Source organism: Homo sapiens, chromosome 8 (genome assembly GCF_000001405.40).
Source record: "Homo sapiens chromosome 8, GRCh38.p14 Primary Assembly".
In the NCBI taxonomy this organism is placed as follows: domain Eukaryota; kingdom Metazoa; phylum Chordata; class Mammalia; order Primates; family Hominidae; genus Homo; species Homo sapiens.
In genome coordinates, this window is record NC_000008.11 from 33,466,347 (window position 1) to 33,484,337 (window position 17,991).

The following is a 17,991-nucleotide window of genomic DNA, read 5'->3' on the forward strand; positions in this document are numbered from 1 at the left end:
TGAGCCCAGGAGTTCAAGGCTGCACTGAGCCATGATTATGCCACTGTACTCCAGCCTGGGTAGCAGAGTGAGACACTGTCTCAAAAAAGAAAACAAAAGAAGGAAAGGAAAGAGAAAGGAGAAGGGAAGGGAAAATGGAAGGAGAGAGAAAAGAAGGGCAGGGCAGGGAAGGGGAAAGAAGGGCAGGGCAGGGCAGGGCCCAGCCAGGGTAGATAGTAGTATTGTGACTTAGAGCATACAACCATTATCCAGGCCTCAGGGTACATTTATAACAGTAACAGTCAATCTAATACTGTATATGGTATTAGTTACCCAGGAGCCTGACATCAAGTCAGCAGTCCTCCAACTGGTGGGACAGGCAGACTTGCAGAGAGCACTATGAAGGACAGCAGGCTCCAATTCAATAGAATAGACCAAAAGAGAACAGTAAGGGAGAAAGGGACACTGGCAGCCATGTCAATCAAGACTGGTGATTAGGCCGGGCATAGTGGCTCACACCTGTAATCTCAGTACTTTGAGAGGCCAAGGCGGGTGGATCACCTGAGGTCAGGAGTTCGAGACCAGCCCGACCAATATGGTGAAGCCCTGTCTCTACTAAAAATACAAAAATTAGCCGGGTGTGGTGGCAGACTCCTGTAATCCCAGCTACTTGGGAGGCTGAGGCAGGAAGGATTGCTTGAACCCAGGAGGCAGAGGTTGCAGTGACCTGAGATCGTACCACTGCACTCCAGCCTGGGCTACAGAGCGAGACTCTGTCTCAAAAAAAACACACAAAAATTAGCCAGGCATGGTGGCATGCACCTGTAGTCCCAGCTACTCGGGAGGCTGAGGCAGGAGAATTACTTGAACCCGGGAGGTGGAGGTTGCAGTGAGCCGAGATCACGCCACTGCACTCCAGCCTGGGCGACGGAGCGAGACTCTGTCTCAAAAAAAAAAAAAAAAAAAAAAAGACTAGTGATTAATCAAGGTGTGGCCAGAGCACATTTCTATTACAGAACTGAAGGCGATGCCATTCTTAAATTCCAGACACATACTGAAGCACTTAAATTATGAGACTCCAAGACAAAAGCTCTCATTTCATCATTGCCTACAGGATGAATCTGAGTCCTGCAAGAGGGTGCCCTAGAATACTCCTTCCTGGGACAGAACAATATGTATATTCAGACATCCACGGCAGGTACCATCTGAAATGGACTCTCACTCACCAATCCTCTTACCCCTAGGAGCTGAGCTTCTAAAGTGCATTGCACGGCTGGCATGCAACACCAGGGTTGGCCATCTGCTGCACAGAGTGGGGTTTGGAGCTGAGTATGACTACCTCATACTCTTGCACGTGCTATGCCATCAAAACCAGCAACACTTTCATCCTAAAATAATTCCAAATTTTCAACTGTATTTTGAATTAAGATGGACAGAAGAGGGACTGAATATCTTACAGGTAATTAGCAGCTTGAGGGTGCCAGCTTCAAATTTTGGCCATTCAGGCCAGTTGAAGGTGTAAGAGTCTCAGAAATGGAACCAAGGGGTGATTTCTTTCCTGCGTGTCTGACTGTAAAATGAGAAACCAACCTTAGGTGACACTCTGAGCTTTCCGAACCTGGTAGTTTGTGAGGCTGGGTGCGGTGGCTCATGCCTGTAATCCCAACACTGTGGGAGGCCAAGGTGGGCGGATCACCTAAGGTCAGGAGTTTGAGACCAGCCTGGACAACACAGTGAAACCTCATCTCTACAAAAAATACAAAAATCAGCCAGGTGTGGTGCCAGGCACCTGTAATCCCAGCTACTGGGGAGACTGAGGCAGGAGAATCCCTTGAACCTGGGAGGCAGAGGATGCAGTGAGCTGAGGTTGCACCACTGCACTCCAGCCTGGACGACAGAATGAAACTGTGTCTCAAAAAAAAAAAAAAAAAAGAAGAAGAAGAAGAAGAACCTGGTAGTTTGTGTGCCCCTCCTCCTCCTCCCTCTCCCTAGTTGCAGGAGAGGCAAGGCAGAAGGCAGGGAGCTCTGGGAAGACTCCTTTGCCCATTTCTGCTCTGGTAATTGGGGAGTCAACTGGGTTAATAAGCTAGAGGTAATACCAAGGAGAGTTTTTAGAAGAAATGTATCTAATTATCAAATTTAAACTATTCACACTAAAGTGCAATGTATCAAATAGGTTTGACTCTCCCAAGGTGTTTTCACTGGATAACGTATAAATCTCCTAATGCCCCTTAAATGGTGACTGTCCTGGCGAAGACATGTGATAGGCTGAGGAGATGCCTAAAGGCCTTTGGACAACTCTTCAGGCACTTTTAAGTACCTCCTTTCAACTACACCTCAATACTCCTCATTCATTTCTGCCTGATTACTCCAAAGTGCCCAACAACTGGTGTTCTTCCCAGTGGTGACCCTTTTGCATTCTTCATGCAGCCATAAAGAGATGTCCCTAGAGTGTTGATTGGATATCTCTCCTGATTAAAATCCTTCAATGGCTGCCCAAAGACCTCAAGATAAAAATAAAACTGTTAGCTTAGAAAACAGGGAGCTCTGGGAAGACTCCTTTGCCCATTTCTGTTCTGGTAATTGGGAGTCAACTGGGTTAATAAGCTAGAGGTAATACCACGGAAAGTTTTTAGAAGAAATGTATCTAATTATCAAATTTAAAGTATTCACAGTAAAGTGCCATTTATCAATGTGAGGCCGGATGCAGTGGTGCATGCCTGTAATGCCAGCACTTTGGGAGGCCAAGGAGGGTGGATTTCTTGAGGCCAGGAGTTGGAGACAAGCCTGGCCAACATGACAAAACCCCGTCTCTACTAAAAATACAAAAATTAGCTGGGTGTGGTGGTGCGTGCCTATAGCCCCAGCTACTGGGGAGGCTGAGGCAGGAGAATGGCATGAACCCGGGAGGCGGAGTTTGCAATGAGCCGAGATCGCGCCACTGCACTCCAGCCTGGGCTACAGAGCAAGACTCTGTCTCGAAAAAAAAGCAAAAACAAAAACAAAAACAAAAATCTGTGTTAATGTGTACCTCGCTCATTTTCAGTGAACTTCATATTTTGCTGAGCATTTATTTTTATATAAAGCATGCTTTGGATTGTAGATTTCTATGTGGGAAAGTCATCCTCTTCATACTAGTGCAAATTTCAGGAGAGACCAGTAGAGGACAGTAAGGGAGAAAGGCACACTGGCAGTCATGTGAATCAAGACTGGTGATTAATGGGGAAAGAGGTGTAGCCAGAACACCTCTGCACTTCTATTGCAGAAATGAAGGCAATGTCATTCCTCAATCCTTAAATTCCAGACACATACTAAAGTACTTAAATTATGCAGTGTTAATAATACAACCTCACAAGAAAGAGTATTCAGTGGATCTACTTGATGTAGAAACTAAAAACAAATCCAAAAGACAGAGAGCCAGATAAACAGACAGACTGATACAATGCCTCAATTAGAAACACAGATTTTTTACTTTTTCTTTTTTTTTTTTTTTTTTTTGAGATGGAGTCTCACTCTGTCACCAGGCTGGAGTGTAGTGGCACTCACCACAATCTCTGCCTCCCGAGTTCAGGCGATTCTCCTGCCTCAGCCTCCCGAGTAGCTGGGATTACAGGTGTGCACCACCACACCCAGCTAATTTTGTATTTTTAGTAGAGACAGGGTTTCACGATGTTGGTCAGAATGGTCTTAACCTCCTGACCTCGTGATCCACCTGCCTCGGCCTCCCAAAGTGCTAGGATTACAGGTGTGAGCCATGGCGCCCGGCAAGAAGCACAGATTTTTAAAATGGAAAGCTTGGTGTCGTGGCTCATGCCTGCAATCTCAGCACTTTGAGACGCCGAGGTGGGTGGATCACTTAAGCCCAGGAGTTCAAGACCAGCCTAGGCAACACAGCAAGAACCCATCTCTACAAAAAAAAAAAAAAAAAAAAAAAAAAAAAGTTAGCTGGGCATGCTGGTGTGCACCTGTAGTCATAGTCCCAGCTACCAGGAGGCTGAGCAGGAGGATCCCTTGAGCCCTGGAGGTCAAGGCTGCAGTGAGCTGTGATCGTGCCACTGCACTCCAGCCTGGGTGGCAGAGCTAGACCCTGTCTCAAAAATAAATAAAAATTAAAAGTGGGGTGACAGCACAAGACTATGAAGTTTATGTGTCACAGTAAGAACTAAGGCAATTCTTCAAGAGCAGGGATTCTTTTTCATCTTTGTTTTTCCTATGAGGTCTTATACTAATAAGTATTAGTAACTATTCTTCCTCCAAGTAGGGCTTATAGGTTACTTTGTGGCAATTTCCCACCCTACAAGATACTCGAATTAAAATCCCTCATCTCTAGAAAAAATATAAATTAATAAATATTGAATAACTGCAGACTAGAAAAAACAAATAAAATCCCTGATCTGCTTTTATCATTTATATATTCATGAATGAGGAGCTGGTTCAGTAACACTGACAAAATGTAGCTAATATTTCACATGACTAAAGACAAATCCCTGAGGATCTTCTGAGGTTCCATCCCAAAACTAAGCTCTCTCATCCCATAAATTATATCCAGGAGTAAAAACTCTCCATAAAAGATTAATCAAGAGACAGTAATCCAGACAACTTGAGTCATCACAAAGTAAGATTTCCGGAAATTTTTTTTTTAATTGTATATAACAGGTTTAGGATTACTTTATCTTCATTTTCCTTGTTGGTAATTCTGTATAATCTTTTGAAAACTCCAATTTCATTATCAAAGAAAAAAATCTGAAAGACATTTTAAGATAAACTTAACTTCTAAAAATGTTCAAAAACCCATGTTCAGAAACATTGTAACAAATGTTCACTGTAGAATGCTGGTAATTGAATTAGATATTGAATATCTACCCGAAATCAACTCTTTACATTCCGAGGTTGGTTTTTTTGTTTTTGTTTTTTGTTGTTGTTGTTGTTGTTGTTTTGTTTTGAGACAGTCTCGCTCTGTTGCCCAGGCTGGAGTGCAGTGGCGCAGTCTTGGCTCACCGCAACTTCCTCCTTCCAGGTTCAAGTGATTGTTCTGTCTCAGCCTCCCGAGTAGCTGGAACTACACGCACACGCCACCACATGAGCCCAGCTAATTTTTGTATTTTTAGTAGAGACGGGGTTTCACCATATTGGCCAGGCTGGTCTAGAACTCCTGATCTCGTGATCCGCCCGCCTCGGTCTCTCAAAGTTCTGGGATTACAGGCATGAGCCACCGCGCCCGGCCGGCCTACATTCCAAAGTTTAAAGCATTTAAATATGGGTTGGAAATATCTGCCTACTGAACAACATTTGTACATATATAAATAACATTGTTTTTCCAAACTATATTCTTTTTACTTCCTGAATTTAACCATAGTTTGAAATTTTTCAAAAATATTGTTTGTAAGATAAAACTTGAAAACTTACTTTTTTTTCTTATTGTAGAAGACAAGCAATAACAACACAGTAAAAGTTGAGATCGTGTTTTTAATTCACTGTTACACACTGCCATCTAGCAGGAAGCGAGCAAGAGTTATTACAGCAATTTCGAAATTGGAAGACCTGAATGATCACCTGAGGCTACCCAATCGCCTCTGGCTTCTCCTTACTCAGAAGAAAGTTTTAAAACGGAGACTACGGTGCTGCTAGATTGGAGGCAGTGAAACTTCAGCGTTCAAAGAGCTGAGCTGCTTATTCAATGCGAGAAAGGCCTCCATTTGAGACTACGGTAGACCAGGGAGAAACCCTGCCCTAGTTGTAGTGTGACGTTACTAACAAGCCCAAGATTGGTCGTGAGTTTCCTGGGTGTCTCATTGGAAAGAAAGGTGTACGAAGGGAATAAAGTCCTGAAAGCCAACTTGCCTTATTCAAAACTGTGGCCAGCCAGAGCTGGATGCATTCCACAAACTAAATTAACAATCCAAGTCATTTCATGCACAAAACACTCTAACCAACTATTATTGCAGGGAGCTGCAGCAGGGAGCAGGGGGCAGGCTGTTGGGGCCGTGGTGTTAGAAAAAGTCATTCTGTGTGACATTTGCTTTATTTTAAAGAATCATTAAAAGATTCCCAGAAAATGTCATAAAATCACAGAAAAATTACTTCTATAGTTTACAAAAAATGAGCTCTGTTCTGAGGGTACTAATCGGGTGCAAAATACCTAACACATGGCTTGCAAATGGGATAACCCAGGCCTGCGGTTGCCGGTGCTTTCCTGGGGCATTTTCTCCATTAAATACGCCGTATTCTCTGCAACTAGAAAGTCACAGTTGCTACGACTTCAACACAACATTCCTGCAACAAGTGATTCTCTGGGAAGACCTGGGGGAGAACAAGGCAATTCGCGCCCCGCAAAGGCAGATTAGGTTCTGGAATGGACGGCCGCGGACCTGGGGAGGAGGCCGATCGGGGCAGGCGGGGAGGCGCCGGGACCCCGCGCTCCTTCTCCGGGCTCCAGCAGAGGCTCCGGCCCGGCACCCGCCTCCCGCCTGGTGGATCAGGCTTCAATCTCAGGCAGTGGCTCTGCCTTTGCGCCACTAAGTCTCCAAAACAGACTTGGATTATTTTGCACACACCATTCCGTCTCTTACACGCACCCCCTGCTCGGTACAGAGAGGGAGTTTCCTTAGGCTGTGACTCCCGGAGGTAGTGTCCCAGCTTCCGTGGGACCAGAAAAGCGTCTTTCCGTGTCTCAGCATCAAGCCCCTACCCCCACCAAGAGACCACAGAGGCCAGATGTGATGCGGCGCTCGCACTCACCTCGCGCGGAGCAGGGTTCGTCCCGCAGAATGCAGCGCAGCTTCCTTTCTCCCTATGAGCCCAAGCCTGGGCGCCGGGAAGACCCGAAGAGCCGATCAGGAGCGGAAGAGGCGGCCGCGCGGGCGAGCTCGGGGCGCGTTCCGGCGGAGCCAGCCTGGATCCGGGTTTTCACTCGTGCCCTGTTCACAAGCTCTTGGGACCCGGGTTCTAAGAACACCGGGCCGCCCCCTGCTGATGATCTTGGTTCGCAGTCCGCCTGAGGCCACGGCCCTATGGAAAGTTCTCGGGAAGGCTGCGGGGGCCCTCTTCTTTAAGACAGGGGAAACTCTCCGCTTCTCCAACTGGACTAGGACTGGAGCGCATGCAGTCACCTATTCAGGCCAGGCGTGGCAGCGGCTCACACCTGTAATCCCAGCACTTTGGGAGGCCAAGGCGGGCAGATCGCTTGAGCCCAGGAGTTCGATACCAGCCTGAGCAACATAGCGGGACCCTGTCTCTACAAAAAATGCAAAAATTAGCAGAGTGTGGTGGCCCATGCCTGTAGTCCCACCTACTGGGAGGCTGAGGTGGGAGGATCTCTTGAGTCCAGGAGGTAAAGGCTGCAGTTAACCGAGATCAAGCCACTGCACTCCAGCCTGGGCAACAGAGCAAGACTGTCTACAAAAATAAATAAAATAAATTTAAAAAAAAAGGTCAAAGTCATTTATTCAAGAAAAGATTGTACTGGTTGCTATGGTGTGAATGTTTGTACCCTGCCCCAAATTCATATGTGAATTTCGTGCCTTTATAGTCTATATAAATTTACAAATGTACTGTGTCTTTATGAAAGAGACCAGAGCAAGCTTCTGCCATGTGAGGACACATAGAGGGTCTCTTGTATGAGGCACAGACGCTAACAGATGAGGAATCTGCCAGCGTGTTTGTTGATCTTGGACTTCCCATCATCCAGACTGGGAGCAGTGGAGTTCCGTTGTTCATGCATTACCCAAACTAAGGTGTGTTGTGATAGTAGCCCAAACGGACTAGACACTGGTAAAGGAAAGCTAATTGACTTCAAGCTACTGAGTTCCAAATCCAAAAACTCAAATAAAATTATTGTGCCCTAGTCTAGGAGGTAATAAACCTAAGGAGGTAATTCAGCATTTTGGGAGGGGTGGGTCTAGGGCAAGGCAAATGAGGTACTTAGGGCTCAAAATCTGAGGAGGTGCTGACCCTGGGTGTCCTGCAGTGCTGGGTGCACTGCAGAAGCCTGAGAGCGATTTGCTGTTTCGGGCCTGCCTCCCTCTGGTCCCGACCCTGCGGAGCTCTGGTGCCAAGAAACTCAACTTTTCTATGAAAACAGGTTGATAATAATGGTGTCCACATCTAAAAAACATCAAACACACAGAAAAGATTGATAAATTAGATATGATTAAAAGTAAGAAACTCTATTCATCAAAAGACACCATTAAGAAAATAAGAAATGGGTGCAGTGGCTCACACCTGTAATCTCAGCACTTTGGTAGGCTGAGACGAGAGGATCACTTGAGCCCAGGAGTTGGAGACCAGCCTGGACAACATAGGGAGACCCCGTCTCTACGAAAAATTTTTAAAAATTAGCCAGGTGTGGTGGTGCACGCCTATGGTTTCCGCCACTCAGGAGGCTGAGGTGGGAGGATTGCTTGACCCTGGGAGGTCAAGGCTGCAGTGAGTCAGGATTGTGTCACTGCACTCCAGCCTGGGCAACAGGATTAGATCCTGTCTCAAGAAAGAAAAAGAATGAAAACTGATCTACGGAATGAGAGAAGGTATTTTTGATATATTGTATCTAACAATGAATTTAGAATATAACAAGAACTCCTAAAAGCAATAAGAAAGAAAAGCAATCAATAAGTACAGCACTTCACCGAAGACGAATCCAAATAGCCAGGCAGTATGTGAAAAAGATGCTTAATGTTTTTAGTCATTAAAGAAATGCAAATGAACACGATGATGATATATACTACACATCCACTAAAATGGCTACAGATTTTAAAACTGACAAGACAACACAAGGACAAAGCCGTGAAGCACATAGAACTGTTATGCACTATTGTTGGGGGTGCAGTTGTGACAGCCACTTTGGAAAATCATCTGTTCATATTTACTAGAGCTGAATATACACGTTGTGACCCAGAAATTCCTAGGTATAGGCCTAATACACATACCTATATATAAACATCAAAAGGCATGTATACTGGGCCATAAAACACACCTCGGCAGGGCACGGTCGCTTACGCCTATAATCTCAGCACTTTGGGAGGCCAAGGAGGGCGGATCACCTGAGGTTGGGAGAGCGAGACCAGCCTGACCAACATGGAGAAACCCCGTCTCTACTAAAAATACAAAAAAGTTAGCCAGGCGTGCTGTCAGGTGCCTACAATCCCAGCTACTCAGGAGGCTGAGGCAGGAGAATCGCTTGAACCTGGGAGGTGGAGGTTGCAGTGAGCCAAGATAGCGCCATTGCACTCCAGCCTGGGCAACAAGAGCGAAACTCGATTTAAAATAAAAAATAAAAAATAAAAAAAATTTAAAAAAACACACACACCTCAACAAATTTCAAAGAATGGACATCATACAAAGCATGCTATCAGACCACAAAGGAATTAAACCAGAAACCAGTAACTGAATGATAATTAGAAAATCTCCAGATACATGGAGATAAAAACAACACACTTCTATATAGCACATAGATCAAAGAAGAAAACTCGGGCGGGTGTGGTGGCTCACGCCTGTAATTCCAGCACTTTGAGAGGCCAATGTGGGTGGATCACCTGAAGTCAGGAGTTTGAGACCAGCCTGGTCAACATGGCGAAACCCTGACTCTACTAAAAATACAAAAATTAGCCAGGTGTGATGGCAGGCGCCCACAATCCCAGCTACTCAGGAGGCTGAGGCAAGAGAATCACTTGATCCCGGGATGCGGAGGCTGCAGTGAGCAGAGATCACTGCCGCTGCACTCCAGTCTGGGTGACAGAGTGAGACTCCATCTCAAAAAAAAAAGAAAGAAAGAAAATTCAAATTCAAGGTTGGCTCTGCAACTTGTGTTGGCCACAGAATGTAGCAGAAGTGACAGGATGCCATTTCCGGGTCCAGGCCTTAAGTGGCCTAGCATACTTCCACTTATTTTCTTGCCACTCTATGCAACTGCCATGAAACCAACTGCAGAATAGCCTTCTGGGCTATGAGGGATAATGGCTCAGTCACCCCTGTTGCCCCAGTCAATTGCTACCCAACTCTAAGATATGTGAGTGAGGCCATCCTAGACTAATTAGCCTCGAGTCAGTCCACCAGATGACCACAGATATGTGAGCAACCCCAGGTCAGCAGACTACCCACCGACTCATAGAAACACAAACATGAATAAATGCTTACTGTTTAAGCCACTGAGTTTCAGAGGCGTGTGTTATACAGCAATAGCTAACTGATACAGAAATTGGCATCTATGGCCGGATGCGGTGGCTCATGCCTGTAATCCCAGCACTTTGGGAGGCTGAGGTGAGAGGATCACGAGGTAAGGAGATGGAGACCATCCTGGCCAACATGGTGAAACCCCATCTCTACTGAAAATACAAAAATTAGCTGGGTGTGGTGGCGCGCGCCTGTAATCCCAGCTACTCGGGAGGCTGAGGCAAGAGAATCACTTGAACCCAGGAGGCGGAGATTGCAATGAGCTGAGATCATGCCACTGCACTCCAGCCTGGTGACAGAGCAAGACTCTGTCTCAAACAAAAAACAAACAAACAAAAAAAGAAAGTGCCATCTAGAAATGGGATGCTGTTTAACAAAAGCCTAAAATATGTGGCATTGGTTTAGGGACCAAGTCCTGGACAACACTGAAAAAGCAAGAAGCATGCTTGTGTTTGACAGACCTGATGCACTTACTGTCTGCTGCCAAGGTTTCCACTACAGATGCAAAAAGAAAAAAAGCAGTGCCATGCTCTCTGTTGGATTGTGGCAGCCAAGATTGAGTGGGGGAAATACAGGAGAAAAAACATGGTAATAAAGGGAAAAACATGGACAGAGAATTTTTGCAACTCAGAAATAATCTTGTAAATAGTAAAGAGCCTGTTTTACTCCAAAACGAATTTAAAATTTGAGGGTTTTCTTAAGGTGCTAAGAAAACTGCTATAGCAAACTGGAAGAATGATGACATGTTAGATAGCAGTAAAATACTTGGTAAAACTATTACCTGTAACAACTCACAAGATATAAAACATACTTAATTTGTATGCCTTGATAAAATGATTTCCAGGCAGAATGCTAAATGTGTTAGTTGGTGTCTTTTAGCTGCATATTGTAAGGACTGCCAGAAAGAAATAAGAGAAATAAGGAGAAAGGGGTGCTGTACAGAATTTAGAGGAACTATCAAGAGATTAAAATTGAGCAGATTGGAAAATAAATCCTGTTCTTATCTCCAGCCTCCCCAGCCAGTAAAAGATCCTCAAGATGAGGCTGGAAGATCTTTTGTTAAGACATCTAAAAGAGTTAAGTTGGTACTAATGGATCTTTTCAGTTAAACGAAAGAGCCAGTAAGAATCATAAAAATGTCTTCTCTTAGCTGCCGGTTACAGTCAAAGTAAGCTCAATTAAGTCTGGAAAGAAGTTTGTCTGAAAAAAAAAAATGATGTATACAGCTTTTGACCAGCGGAGTAGACTGAAATCAGACTCAACATAGAAAGTTCACAAAGTTTCAAAAGTTTTACATAGCGAACATGTTTTGACCAGGCACAGTGGCTCACGCCTGTAATCCCAGCACTTTAGGAGGCCGAAATGGGCGGGTTGCTTGAGGTCAGGAGTTCAAGACCAGCCTGGCCAATATGGTGAAACCCTGTCTCTACCAAAAATACAAAAATTAGCCGGGTGTGGTGGCACGCTAATTAGCTGGGTGGGGTGGGCCAAGTAGTAATCCCAGCTATTTGGGAGGCTGAGGCATGAGGATTGCTTGAACCCGGGAGGCGGAGGTTGCAGTGAGCCAAGATTGCACCACTGCAGTCCAGCCTGGGTGACAGAGTGAGACCCTGTCTCAAAAAAAAAAGTTTCTGAGGCCCCAAGTTTCTGTGGGCAAGATACAGACTTAGAAGGGCACTCAGCTGCCAACAGGAGTCATTTCTTCCTAAGAATCCACAAAGCCTAATGGAAAAGAAAGGTGCTTCAGAGAATCAATCCAAGAGCTTTGGTGAACCAGGTGTCAGGGAGCCATTCCTAGAAAGCAAAACTGGGCCCTAATAACAGAATGTTCCCTGCCCCTGGAGAAGAGGGACCTGACAACATTTGCTGGGTGGAATTTCAGTATTGCATGGAGCAGTGACTGCTGTGTGCTTACCGCCGGGTACTAACAACTCTAATTGAATATCTAGTGGGCAAATGAAAATCAACACGTTCAGGCTGGGCATGGTGGCTCACATCTATAATCCTGGCACTTTCAGAGGTTAAGGCCAGAGGACTGTTTGAGCCCAGGAGTTTGAGACCAGCGTGGGCCATGAAGCAAGACCCTGTATCTACAGAAAATTTTAAAAATTAACTGGGCCTGGTGCTACCCACCTGTAGTCCCAGCTACTCAGAAGGCTGAGGCAGGAGGATCCCTTGAGCCCAGGAGTTTGAGGTTGCAGTGAGCTATGACTGTATCCTCCAGCCTGGGAAACAGAACAAGATCCTGTCTTTAAAAAAATAAAGCGGCCAGGCGCGGTGGCTCATGCCTATAATCCCAGCACTCTGGGAGGCCGAAGTGGGCGGATCACGAGGTCAGGAGATCGAGACCATCCTGGCTAACACAGTAAAATCCCGTCTCTACTAAAAATACAAAAAAAATTAGCCGGGCGTGGTGGCGGGCACCTGTAGTCCCAGCTACTTGGGAGGCTGAGGCAGGAGAATGGCGTGAACCCGGGAGGCGGAGCTTGCAGTGAGCAGAGATCGCGCCACGGCACTCCAGCCTGGGCAACAAAGCGAGACTCCCTCTCAAGAAAAAAATAAAAAATAAAAAATAAAATAAAGTAACATGTCCAAAATTCAATTCTCACCACCTGTAAAATCTGCTCCTCCAGTTGGGCACGGTGGCTTACGCCTGGGTGGCTCACCCAGCACTCTGGGAGACCAAGGCGGGAGGATCACTTGAGGTCTGGAGTTCGAGACCAGCCTGGCCATCATGGCAAAAACCCATCTCTACTAAAAAATTTAAAAATTAGCCAGGCGTAGTGGTGCATGTCTGTAGTCCCAGCTACTCGGAAGGCTGAGGCAGGAGAATCACTTGAACCAGGAGGGAGGTGGAGGTTGCAGTGAGCTGAGATAGCGCCACCGCACTCCACCCTGGGTGACAGAGTAAGACTCTGTCTCAAAAAAAAAAAAAAAAAAAAAGAAAAAGAAAAGAAAAGAAAAGAAACAAGTAAAGAGGGAGCCTGGTGACCTTCTATAGGCAGCTTCAGTTCTTGCATTCCCCTGTTTCTAAGAGGGTACAAACTGTTTCAGAGCATTGCTTCTCAAATACAAGTTCTTGCACTGCTAATGTGTCTGGCACTATCTAATATGTGAATCATCTGGGAGCTCTACTCCTTGAGTTTCTGACACAGCAGTTCTGATGTTATCAATGAAATCTGTATTATTAATCAGTTAACAATTTGCTTCTGATGTTTGAACATAACCAAGTTTGAAAGTCATTCCTCTAGATTGTTTCCTCATCACCTCTTTCCTATTTCCCTTTTTTTTTAGATGGGAGTCTTGCTCTGTCACCCAGGCTGGAGTGCAGTGGCACAATCTCAGCTCACAGCAACCTCCACCTCCCGGGTTCAAGCAATTCTCCTGTCTCAGCCTCCCAAGTAGCTGAAATTACGGGTGCCCATCACCACGCCCGACCAATTTTTTATTTTTAGTAGACACGGGGTTTCACCATATTGGCCAGGCTGGCCTCAAACTCCTGACCTCAAGTGATCTGCCCGCCTTGGCCTCCCAAAGTGCTGGGATTACAGGCATGAGCCACCGTGCCCAGCCAAATATTTCCCTTCTAACATGGAATAAAAAGATAGATGAAGTAGATAAAGGAGGGAAGATGTGGTATGTAAAATGCTAGTTTTTTTCCACATCCTGGTCTATGTTCTGTGATAAACATACAGTCATCTAATGAACAAAGAATCACAAATATGTTCTACCCCAGGATCTGAGAGTTCTCAACTTCCATCCCCTTCCATCTCAGTATTTCTTCGTCTGTGAACAAGATATGAAGCAAATGTAAAACAAATAGAAGCAGATATTCCCCACTGCACCTTTTTTATGAGCAAAAGCAAATATTGAATCATTTAAGGAATATTCATGGAGAGGCAGTTAAAACACACTTCATCCACCGGTGCAAAACTCTGAATGATCGAGCTCATTGGCAAGACAGGAGGCTGCAGAAATGACCCTCCCCATAGGACTTCTAAAAAAAAAGTATTGTTTACATTTTATTTATTTGTGTTTTTAAATTGATATATCATAGTTACATATATTTTGGGGGTATGTGTGATACATGTATACAATGTGTAATGATGAAATTAGGGTGATAGAGGTATCCATCACTTCAAACATTTTTCTTTGTGTTGAAAACATTCTAATTCTTCTCTTCTAGCTATTTTGAAATATGCAATAAATTATTGTTAACTATAATTTCCCTACTGTGTTATCAAATACCAGACTTTATCCTTCTATCTAAGTGTTTTTTTTGTACTCATTAACCAACTTCTCTTCCTCCCCCTCCTCTCCATAGGACTTACAATCATTGTGTTGAACTCAAGATCATCCAGCTCCAACAATTTTCTTTCCTTTCCTCCTTTGCAGTTCTAGCTGCTCAATTATTATTTTGGCAACCTAAAAATCACATTAATAAAGAGATGCTAGACCAAAAGAACCCTGAAAGTTAATAAAGAAAAAAAAAGAAAGAAAAAACAAAATAAAGTGATGCTAGACCTCTGATAATGACTCCCATTTCTTCCAGCTAGTCATTACATTTACAGAGAGAGGTTCTTTTTTTTTTTTTTTTTTTTTTTTTTTTTTTTTTTTTTTTTTAATGAGATGGAGTCTCTGTTGCCCAGGCTGGAGTGCAGTGGCGCAATCTCGGCTCACTGCAAGCTCCGCCTCCTTGGTTCAGGCAATTCTCCTGCCTCAGCCTCCCAAGTAGCTGGGATTACAGGCGCCCAGCACCATGCCCAGCTATTTTTTTTTGTACTTTTACTAGAGACAGGGTTTCGCCATGTTGGCCAGGCTGCTCTCAAACTCCTGACCTCAGGTGGTCCACCTGCCTCAGCCTCCCAAAGTGCTGGGATTACAGGCGTGAGCCACAGTGCCTGACAAGATTTATAGAGAGAGGGTCTAAATTCATTCCTGCACATCTCTTCCTTTTGGGGAGCTCTGTGGTTCTGCTAAAACAACAACAAAAAACTATGTATTTTTCTTCTCCTTAAATGGTTTATTCCTCTGATTGTATACAAGCAAACACACATGCTTTACAGATGAGCAACTTTATTAGGTTTAATCCTCCAACAAGCTGCCTTCCACACTTCAGGGTTTCGTGTGTGTGTGTGTGTGTGTGTGTGTACACTTCATAGGAAACCTGACTCTGCCCAGGGTTAGCTCTGGGAAAAGTTGCTGTGGGAGTGGCTGAAGGTGGCAGAGGCCTGGAAGGTAAGACAACGGAGACCCTGTCTCTAAATAAATAAGTAAATAGAGACCTAACAACTAATTTATTGTGAATTTATTATGTACCAGGAACTGTACAGGAGATTGTGGATAAAGAAATGAAAAGACATCATCCTTAATCTTGAAAAGCTCAACGTTGGCCTGGCTTGGGCGCTCACACCTGTAATCCCAGCACTTTGGAAGGCCAAGGTGGGCGGATCACCTGAGGTCAAGAGTTTGAGACCAGCCTGACCAACATGGTGAAACCCTGTCTCTACTAAAAATGTAAATATTAGCTGGGCATAGTGGAACACGCCTGTAGTCCCAGCTGCTTGGGAAGCTGAGGCAAGAGAATCGCTTGAACCCAGCAGGTGGAGGTTGCAATGAGCTGAGATCGCACCACTACACTCCAGCCTGGGCAACAGAGTGAGACTCTGTCTCAAAAAAAAAAAAAAAAAAAAAAAGAAAAGAAAAAAAAAAAACAGAAAAGCTCAAGGCCTAAGAGATAATAAACCAATAACAATAATACAACACTAGTGAGGAATACATAGTGCACTGTGGTAACAGAGGAGAATGCGGGTATGTATAGAGAATGTTGAAATAGCATTACATTTTCTTATCTTTTCTTTTCTTTTTTTTTGAGACTGAGTTGCGCTCTGTCACCCAGGCTGGAGTGCAGTGGTGCGATCTCAGCTCACTGCAACCTCTGCCTTGTGGGTTCAGGCAATTCTCTGCCTCAGCCTCTCGAAGAGTTGGGATAACAGGCACCCACCACCACGCCCGGCTAATTTTTGTATTTTTAGTAGAGACAGGGTTTCACCATCTTGGCCAGGGTGGTTTCGATCTCCTGACCTGCTGATCCATCTGTCTTGGCCTCCCAAAGTGCTGGGATTACAGGTGTGAGCCACCGCACACGGCTAAATTTTCTTTCATTCTTCTTTTGAACTGGAGATTACTTTTTGTTTGTTTGTTTTTTTAATGAGACAGAGTCTCGCTCTGTCACCCACGCTGGAGTGCAGTGGCGGGATCTCGGCTCACCGCAAGCTCTGCCTCACTAAATACTACATAATATCATGATAAATGCTTTTAAACTTTATATCAAATTTCTCATGTGTTTCAGTTGCAGTCAAATCCAGGGTATCCCTAGGGTGACCCCAGTGAGTCCCACTCCCTGGTGTTCATGTCTTGTATCTTCTCCTCCCCTCCAGTGAGGGTGGCACCTGTGACTTGATCTAACCAATGGCATAAGGCAAAGTCTATGGAAAGTCACTGCCATAATTTTTTAAGATTATTTAAGATTATTTAAGATTAACATTATTTAAGATTCTGTTTTAGCAGACTGGAATTTAACTCGTTGCTGGCTTGATGAAGTAAGGAGCTATGTTGAGAAATCCCATGTGGCAAGAAGCCACAGGCAGCCTCTAGGACCTGTGGGTGGCCTCCCGGACACACGCCATCCTTACTGAGACTGTGTCCTTCTTACACTTTTGTTATTAAAATGGTCTTGTTACTGGAAAGTGGTCCCCAATCAGACCCAAGAGAGGGTTCTTGGATCTTAAGCAAGAAAGAATTTGAGGTGAGTCCATAAGTTTCGTAAAGTGAAAGCAAGCTTATTAAGAAAGTAAAGGAATGAAAGAATGGCTACTGCATAGGCAGAGCGGCACCGAGGGCTGCTGGTTGCCCATTTTTATCGCTATTTGTTCATGTATTTTTTGAGACTGATTCTTGCTCTGTTGCCCAGGCTGAAGTGCAGCGGCTTGATCTCAGCTCACTGTAATCTCTGCCTCCCAGATTCAAGTGATTCTCCTGCCTCAGCCTCCCAAGTAGCGGGGACTACAGGTGCCCACCACCACGCCTGGTTAAGTTTTGTATTTTTAGTAGAGATGGGGTTTCACCACGTTGGCCCGTCTGGTCTTGAACTTCTGACCTCGGGTGATCCACCTGCCTCGGCCTCCCAAAATGCTGATTACAGGCGTGAGCCACCAAGCCCAGCCTATTTATTGATTATATGCTAAACACGGAGCGGATTACTTACGCCTCTCCTTTTTAGACCATATAGAGTAATTTCCTGATGTTGCCATGGCATTTGTGGCGCCAGTGGGAGTGTAGCAGTGAGGACGACCAGAGGTCAAACTCATTGCCATCTTGGTTTTGTGGGTCTTGACTGGCTTCTTTACTGCAATCTGTTTTATCAGCAACATCCTTATGACCTGTATTTTGTGCTGACCTCATCCTGTGATTTAGATGGCCTGACCCTCGGGAATGCAGCCTAGCAGATCTCAGCCTTATTTTACCCAGCCACTATTCAAGATGGGGTTGCTCTGGTTCAAATGCCTCTTGACAGTCTTTCTTTCCTTTTCTTTTTTCTTTTTCTTTTTTTTTTTTTGAGAGGTAGTTTTGGTTGTCACCCAGGCTGGAGGGCCACAGCATGATCTCGGCTCACTGCAACCTCCGCCTCCCGGGTTCAAGCGATTCTCCTGCCTCAGCCTCCCAAGTAGCTGGGATTACAGGCACCTGCTACCACGCCCGACTAATTTTTGTATTTTTAGTAGAGACGGGATTTCACTATGTTGGCCAGGCTGGTCTGGAACTCGCCCGCCTAGGCCGCCCAAA

General features: G+C 45.0%; 1 protein-coding gene across 7 annotated transcripts in view, besides 4 other annotated features; it reads right to left on the minus strand.

Annotated features, from left to right (window-relative positions):
• The window catches only part of POFUT3 (protein O-fucosyltransferase 3), a 165,086-nt gene extending 158,286 nt beyond the window's left edge, over positions 1 to 6,800 (minus strand). For all 7 annotated transcript variants that reach the window (XM_011544677.4, XM_011544676.4, XM_011544681.4 and 4 more), the window contains exon 1: positions 6,718 to 6,800. The gene's annotated coding sequence lies outside the window, so the exon portion shown is untranslated. The remainder of the gene's footprint in view (positions 1 to 6,717) is intronic.
• Positions 5,020 to 5,069: a silencer, noted in NCBI's record as "silent region_19094". NCBI's record gives its function as "represses an Ori minimal core promoter by ATAC-STARR-seq in GM12878 lymphoblastoid cells {active_cell/tissue: GM12878}" and the evidence as "EXISTENCE:reporter gene assay evidence [ECO:0000049][PMID:35858748]".
• Positions 5,770 to 5,979: an enhancer, noted in NCBI's record as "active region_27218". NCBI's record gives its function as "activates an Ori minimal core promoter by ATAC-STARR-seq in GM12878 lymphoblastoid cells {active_cell/tissue: GM12878}" and the evidence as "EXISTENCE:reporter gene assay evidence [ECO:0000049][PMID:35858748]".
• Positions 6,300 to 6,539: a silencer, noted in NCBI's record as "silent region_19095". NCBI's record gives its function as "represses an Ori minimal core promoter by ATAC-STARR-seq in GM12878 lymphoblastoid cells {active_cell/tissue: GM12878}" and the evidence as "EXISTENCE:reporter gene assay evidence [ECO:0000049][PMID:35858748]".
• Positions 6,830 to 6,909: a silencer, noted in NCBI's record as "silent region_19096". NCBI's record gives its function as "represses an Ori minimal core promoter by ATAC-STARR-seq in GM12878 lymphoblastoid cells {active_cell/tissue: GM12878}" and the evidence as "EXISTENCE:reporter gene assay evidence [ECO:0000049][PMID:35858748]".